The sequence below is a fragment of the Homo sapiens genome, chromosome X, assembly GCF_000001405.40.
Source record: "Homo sapiens chromosome X, GRCh38.p14 Primary Assembly".
NCBI lineage: Eukaryota > Metazoa > Chordata > Mammalia > Primates > Hominidae > Homo > Homo sapiens.
Window position 1 is genome coordinate 100867041 of NC_000023.11, and position 8060 is coordinate 100875100.

Sequence of the window (8060 nt, forward strand, 5' to 3'; positions counted from 1 at the left end):
ATTTATTTTTGAGACAGAGTCTGGCTCTGTCGCCCAGGCTGGAGTGCAGTGGCGCGATCTCGGCTCACTGCAAGCTCCGCCTTCTGGGTTCACGCCATTCTTCTGCCTCAGTCTCCCGAGTAGCTGGGACTACAGGCGCTCGCCACCACGCCTGGCTAATTTTTTGTATTTTTAGTAGAGATGGGGTTTCACCGTGGTCTCGATCTCCTGACCTCGTGATCCGCCCGCCTCGGCCTCCCAAAGTGCTGGGATTACAGGCGTGAGCCACAGCGCCTGGCAAAAAAATGTTTTTAAATTATGGATTTAAACTTCTTCCTCTGCTGCTTATCTGCTCTACTTCATAGTGAATCAAATTGTTCCCTGTATTTTCCCAAGGTGAGCATGAATTTAAGAAATAACCTGTGGAATGTTTAAATAAATTATGGCATATCAATGCAATGAATTGTTATTCTCTTAAAAGGCTGAGAGCTCTATGCAGTTATGCAGTGATGGTAAATGTTTTAATGACTGTGGAATGTTTAAATAAATTATGGCATATTAATTAGCCAGGCTTGGTGGCGCACACCTGTGGTCCCAGCTAATCAGGAGGCTGAGGTGGGAAGATAGCTGAAGCCTGGGAGAGTCGAGGCTGCAGTGAACCATGATCATGCCACTGCATGCCAGCCTGGGTAACAGAGAAAGACCCTGTCTCAAAATAAAAAGAATGAAAACAAAGAAAGAAAGAAGGAAGGAAGGAAGGAAAAGAAAAGAAGAAAGAGAGAGAGAAAGAGAGAAGGAAAGAAGGAAGGAAGGAAGGAAAGAAAGAGAGAGAGAAGAAAGAGAAAGAAAAGGAAGGAAGAATAAAGAAAGGAAGAAAGAGAAAAAAGAAAGAAGGAAAGAAAGAGACCTGCACTTATACCCCCTACATATGTAAACAATTTTTAAATAATTTTGAAAAAAAAATGTCCATGGGACATCAGCATAATTTATTTTTGTGCTGCTGACATTTTGGTCATGTAGTAATCAAGCTGTTAATAACTAGTCACATTTATTGCATCATTCTCTTAGTAAAAAGCTATTTTTAAAGCAAATTAATACCTCCTTTGGAGTTATAGTTTCTAAAGAAGGATCAAGGATGAACATTTAAAATGGAAAACAGCAGGGTGAAATAAACCATGAACAGAACGTTCAAATTAGTTGTGATCTCAACATGGATTCTTTGATTATGGAGAGAGAAAAAAGCATTTTTTAAAAGGACAAGCTGTCTTTAAACATGTACATTGGGAAGATACCAAAAGCTACTGAAAAAATGACACTGTCAAGATGAAAGTGATTTAAAATCCTCTATCTGTTATTGCATAATAGACTAGAGGTAGCAGTCAAATATGCTCTTCTAACCAGGCAGCATCCGGGTTCATCAGCCTGTGAGAGAACCATCCTCAACTCCGTGCTTCCTCCTGGTCACCTCCACACCCCTGTGCCCTACCCACTCCCTCCCTCCCTCTTCTGTTTTTGATCTGCCACTTCCCCAAGCTTCTCAGGTTCTGTAACCTTGACCTGAGCCCTCCTTTCTGCAGGCCTTGAATTCTGTAGCACCCATGAGACTCCCCTAAGTATCCCTCCTATTTGATAGAGAGGTATGTTTCCATGACAGCAGTGTTTTCAAGTTGTGTTTGTTTTTTCTTTTTTACTTTCCTTTTTTTTAAAAAAAAACCAAACTCTTTCTTAAAATTGTAAGCAGGTGTTCATAGATAGATATAGTCTGCTTTGGTTGAAATAGGGGCAGGAGCATTAATCCATCTTGAATTGATTTTTGTATAAGGTGTAAGGAAGGGATCCAGTTGCAGCTTTCTACATATGGCTAGCCAGTTTTCCCAGCACCATTTATTAAATAGGGAATCCTTTCCCCATTGCTTGTTTTTCTCAGGTTTGTCAAAGATCAGATAGTTGTAGATATGCGGCATTATTTCTGAGGGCTCTGTTCTGTTCCATTGATATATATCTCTGTTTTGGTACCAGTACCATGCTGTTTTGGTTACTGTAGCCTTGTAGTATAGTTTGAAGTGAGGTAGTGTGATGCCTCCAGCTTTGTTCTTTTGGCTTAGGATTGACTTGGCGATGCGGGCTCTTTTTTGGTTCCATATGAACTTTGAAGTAGTTTTTTCCAATTCTGTGAAGAAAGGCATTGGTAGCTTGATGGGGATGGCATTGAATCTGTAAATTACCTTGGGCAGTATGGCCATTTTCACGATATTGATTCTTCCTATCCATGAGTATGGAATGTTCTTCCATTTGTTTGTATCCTCTTTTATTTCCTTGAGCAGCGGTTTGTAGTTCTCCTTGAAGAGGTCCTTCACATCCCTTGTAAGTTGGATTCCTAGGTATTTTATTCTCTTTGAAGCAATTGTGAATGGGAGTTCACTCATGATTTGGCTCTCTGTTTGTCTGTTGTTGGTGTATAAGAATGCTTGTGATTTCTGTACATTGATTTTGTATCCTGAGACTTTGCTGAAGTTGCTTATTAGCTTAAGGAGATTTTGGGCTGAGACGATGGGGTTTTCTAGATATACAATCATGTCATCTGCAAACAGGGACAATTTGACTTCCTCTTTTCCTAATTGAATACCCTTTATTTCCTTCTCCTGCCTAATTGCCCTGGCCAGAACTTCCAACACTATGTTGAATAGGAGCGGTGAGAGAGGGCATCCCTGTCTTGTGCCAGTTTTCAAAGGGAATGCTTCCAGTTTTTGCCCATTCAGTATGATATTGGCTGTGGGTTTGTCATAGATAGCTCTTATTATTTTGAAATATGTCCCATCAATACCTAATTTATTGAGAGTTTTTAGCATGAAAGGTTGTTGAATTTTGTCAAAGGCCTTTTCTGCATCTATTGAGATAATCATGTGGTTTTTGTCTTTGGCTCTGTTTATATGCTGGATTACATTTATTGATTTGTGTATATTGAACCAGCCTTGCATCCCAGGGATGAAGCCCACTTGATCATGGTGGATAAGCTTTTTGATGTGCTGCTGGATTCGGTTTGCCAGTATTTTATTGAGGATTTTTGCATCAATGTTCATCAAGGATATTGGTCTAAAATTCTCTTTTTTGGTTGTGTCTCTGCCAGGCTTTGGTATCAGAATGATGCTGGCCTCATAAAATGAGTTAGGGAGGATTCCCTCTTTTTCTATTGATTGAAATAGTTTCAGAAGAATGGTACCAGTTCCTCCTTGTAAAAAAAAAAAAAAAAGAAATAGGGGCAGGAGCAGGAGCAGGAGCACTGCCCAGTTAGCCTTCCCCTCATACCCTGTAGGAACACCTGAGTTTCTGGAAACCAGTTTGAAAACAACTGCCTAATAGTTTTCTTTATTGCATGTTTCCTTTATTGGGTCTGGGTAGTGTGCCCTAGATGGGGTTATCAGATTTATTTAATAAAAATACAGGATGCTAAGCTAAATTTTAACTTCAGACTTTTTAAAATAAATATTTTAGTATACCTGTGTTTCATACAGTATTTGGAGCATACTTACATAAAAAAATAATTTGTCATTTATCTGAAACTCAAAGTCAGTTGGGCATTCTGTACTTTTTCTGGCAACCCTAGCCCTAGAGAATATCAGGGCATTGGGTCACAAAGAAGCTGGAATCAGAGATAAGGAAAACAATAGAGATTCTATCCGTGACAACCGTGATACTCACCCCAAGGATTTTTCTTGTGTAGTAGTATTTGTCGGCCTTCTCATATTTCAGGAAGGCATCCACAAACAGGAAAACATTCAGCCCTAACCAAACAACCTAGAGAAAGAAAAAAAAACATGCAAAGAATAAAGTGAAATTTGAGTATGGGAAGGAGTAAATAAGGGATAGGGATAGCAATAGTGTCGCCGTTTTGGCTATTTTGTGTTTACCTGTTTTCATTTTAAATGAGTGCAATCCTGCTAGTATCTAACTGGCTTTCAGAGTGAGTTAGCACTTTGAGACATGCATTAGACTAGAGCAGGGTCAGCAAACTGAGGCCCATGGCCCATTACCTGTTTTGCCACAGCCTGCAAGCTCAGAATTGTTTTTTATATTTTATATTTTCAAATTTGCTAATGGTTGAGAAAATCGAAAGAAGAATATTTTGTGGCATGTGAAAGTTATATGAAATTCAAATTTCAGTGACCATAAATAAAGTGGTATTGGAACTTAGCCACTGCTACTCATTTTTGTATTGTTTATGGCTGTTTTTGTGATACAATGACGGAGTAGAGTAGTTGGGACAGAGACCATATGGCTTGCAAAGCCTAAAATATGTACTATCTAGATTTTTACAGAAACATTTGCCATTTCTTGGACTAGAGCATTCAAACTGTTGCACCTAAAAGATGGCAATAAGTGAATAAATGGATATCTGAAGAAACAAAGAACAAATTTAGCACCTATAACAATACCTAACTGAAAAGAACTAAACCATTCCAGATGGGCCTGCCTTTTTAATTACACCCTGACACACATTTTTCTGTTTTCAGATTGTGAGTCTTTTTTCAAATTAATCTATTTTTCCTTTGGACTTTTTTGAGCTCTTAAGACTGCTTTTGCCTGTTCCAAGTTCTGTCTCTGCACTGGCTAAAGGTGAAATTTGGAACTCACTGCCCATTGCCTTGAGGACCAACCAACTGGTCTCTAGCCCAAGTGTGGAGGTGCTAGTCTGTAATTCGACAGGTCTCCAGGGCGCTAGTATATATCCCTCGCCCCACAGTATGAGTCAGAACCATCTCAGCACAACAGGCAAAGGGCCTTTAGCCTAGGACATGGCCTATTCAGACTCCCTAGATCTAGACCACTCACACACCTTTAGTACTATAATATAGTGATTTAAAGTGTGATATTGGAGTCAAGTTGTAGCATCACCAATTAATAGCTCTATAATCTCAGACAGACATATGATTTAAATTTTCTAAACCTCAATTTCTTCACCTGCAAAATGAGGATAATAACAGGACCTACTTTATAGTAATGCTATGAGGCTTACGTCAGATAATGCGTGTAAAGTGATTAATGCAATGCTTGGGGCTTAGTAAGAGATCAATAAGTGCTAGCTACAGAGTTGTGTCACCACCGAACCTGCTTTACCAATCAATTTCTTCCTGCCTCCTTTGCTCAGTTACCCTTTTCCAGAGCTGAGTGTCTTCCAGAGAAACGTCTTTGAAAGAAAAGAAAGTCAACAGTCACAGACACCTCAAGAATTTGGAAGACAGAGGAGAGAAGTTTATTTAGAGGGAGCAGAAATATTTCTGGATCGCAAAGAGACACAGGGGCAAATAACTGTGTCAGCCCATCATCAATTGTAGGCAAGGCAAATGATGAAATACAGTGATATCTAGGAGTAAGGCATTCCATTCCCCATCTTAGCTGTCATTTCCTCCACTATGAACGTCAAAGAAGGTAAACTACAAGACCTGGGAGGAAGGAGGAATAAAACTATTTTTAAGTAATTTATTTTTTATTTAAAAATCAGTGCATAGGAGTATATGTCAGAGATAATGAGAAGTCTAAGCTTGCCAGCTGGTTTGGTGGGGGATGAAAATTCAAAGCTAGAGAGTTAAATGTGAGTCACCATCATAGCTGGTAAACTCTCCCAGCAAAAAATAAGAGAGGGGGAAAAAATGCAGGTAAATGTGGATTTTAGAGCTAGAAACACCCTTATATTTGTATCTAATCTAGTCACTTTATTAATCCCCTGCTCCCCTCCCCTGCCCAATTCCCCCCACCTACACACCCACAGGACCTGAAGTCTAGAGAGGATAAATAATTTGATCGAGATCACCCAGTTAGTAGCAGAATTCAAAGTACTTGCCAGGTTCCCTTTCTCCTAAACTAGTGTTCTTTCCATTATAGTGCAAAAGGAACTCAATATAAGGCATTGAGCATTTAAAATATGTCATGGGATAACCTGACAAAATAAGCACTTTTGTTAAATGTAAAACAAACAACCCTCCAGGGAAACTCCACATATTTTTCCCTGGAGCACCTGGTCGGGGGGCGGGGGGGTAGACAGGAATAAAAAGAAGCATCACACCTTCTCTCTTCTGTTTTGCCTGTGGGACCCAAAAGCAAAACAGGAGAAAAGAGAAAGAGTAATGAATGAAGATCTAGGAAAGTGAGAAAGGACACAGGGAGCCCCAGGCTCAACTGTGGCTCAGAAATGGAAGAATGAGAGTGGAGAGAGGTGTTAGAGTGTTAGGAGAAAGGGATTGTGCATACAAAGGGTGATAAAGGGGTTCTGGCCTGAACGTCATTGGGGAGCTGGGTTCGAGTGATGCCAATTCAGTCAATTCATTGTGTGACATCTAGGTCTTATTTTCCTTTGTACAATCAATAAGTTGGTTTACATCTGCACTATGCAATGCCACAGCCACTACCCACATGGGGCTGCTGAGCACTTGAAATGTGGCTAGTCCTCACTGAGATGTGCTGTGGGTATATATACACATCAGATTTGAAAGACTCAGTAAAAATAAAAATATGTAAATTAGCTTCTTAATATTTTCAATATTGAATACATACTGAAAGGATTTGTTGATATGTTGGGTTAAATGAATTATATTGTTAAATATTAACTTCACCTGTTTATTTTTACCTTTTCGGTGTAGGTATTAGAAAATTTAGGAATTACATTATGTGGTTTGCTATATTTCTAGTGGTCAGTACTGGGCCAGATGATCTCTAAGATCACTTTCATCTCAAACATTCAGTGACTTTTTGAAATCTTGATGGGACCAGTATAGGAAAGATAGAGAGAAATCAGCACTCATGGTAGTAGTTAGAAGTGAGATGGAAGAGAAAGGGAGATGACAGAAAATGAAAACAGATTGAAATTCCAAATACTTGTGATTTGACAACATGAACAATTGCATGTTATTTGCCTCTGTCCTCTCATCTGACCCACAGTTGTATTTTTTAACTAACTGGTCTTGATGAGCCCAATAATCGGCATGGAATCATCTTTCTCTTTCAAATTGCTTTACAAATATTAAAAAACATGATTTCTCCTTAATCCTTCCTAATTAATAGGAAGTCAAACATCACTTACCAGAAACAAAACTGAAAACCAGTGGTTAACCACCCAGTTTCCCATTGTCAAGAGGTGGTTTGGAGCCCTTCTAGGCAACAGGGAAGATTCAGCAATCCGGATTCTGGAGAGGTCCTTCAGGAATGGAACATTTGTCCAGCGCAGGGTCTGTGAGCCTTTAAGATGTGAAAAACACACACCTACCCCAAGAGTTCCTGGGAATGAATAAGTTTATTCTGCCTTCCTTCTCTGGACAGAACTGTGCTATCAGCTTAGATAGACCAGCCCTATCTATGAGAACCACAAGGGTTTTACCTGTGGGGATTTTACTGCTTCAGGAAATAGCAACATTCTTGGATGAAAATATTCTCTCTCATCATCTTATCAACATGACCTAATGTGAAGCATTGCCTTCCTAGATAAAAGATTTGCTAAAGTTTCTCATAAAAAAGATTATTAGTCTGGGTCTGTAAACAGATTACTTCAGGAGAAGTAGGGAGGGAAGCGTGTGTGGTAAGGAAGCTGTTTCAAAGTGCACTTTTCAAACTGTTGCCACATCTGCCGGCTGCCATTTGGATTTCAGCCTGGCTAGCTCAGAAACTTTAGCATACCAGTTCCCCTGGAGGATGATCTGTGGTTGACATATATGATGATGGCTTTGGGGAGAACTTGACTGGCTGGAAGGACAAGTGAAAAGAAGGGCCAAATAGAGCAAGAGAAAATTTAACAAGTATAAAAGTGCACTTTGGTTCAAAATAAACAGAGGCAGAGCACTCAAAAGAATGGAGATGATTGTCTTCTAGTATGATAGATTTACTAGAGTTGTGTGTTCAGCTCTGGGCACTGATTTTTTTTCCCTTTTCTAAAATGGTGAAATATACACAGAAGAGTATATAAAACATACATATGTAACTTAAAGAATAATTTTAAGGAATAAGTATCTATGTGTTCACTACTCAGATTAAAGAAAATAGACTATTTTTCTCCAGTATCTTAAAGCTCTTTGTATTTCCCTCCCTGATCACAT

The 8060-nt window shown here is 39.3% G+C and overlaps 1 protein-coding gene across 3 annotated transcripts in view; it reads right to left on the reverse strand.

Moving 5' to 3' along the window:
• NOX1 (NADPH oxidase 1) overlaps positions 1–7319 on the reverse strand; it is a 31036-nt gene extending 23717 nt beyond the window's left edge. For all 3 annotated transcript variants that reach the window (NM_001271815.2, NM_013955.3, NM_007052.5), the window contains exons 1-2: positions 7055–7319; positions 3679–3774 (exon numbers count right to left, since the gene is read on the reverse strand). In NM_001271815.2, coding sequence (NP_001258744.1) covers positions 3679–3774; positions 7055–7099 — 141 coding nt within the window. In that variant the 5' untranslated portion in view covers positions 7100–7319. The remainder of the gene's footprint in view (positions 1–3678; positions 3775–7054) is intronic.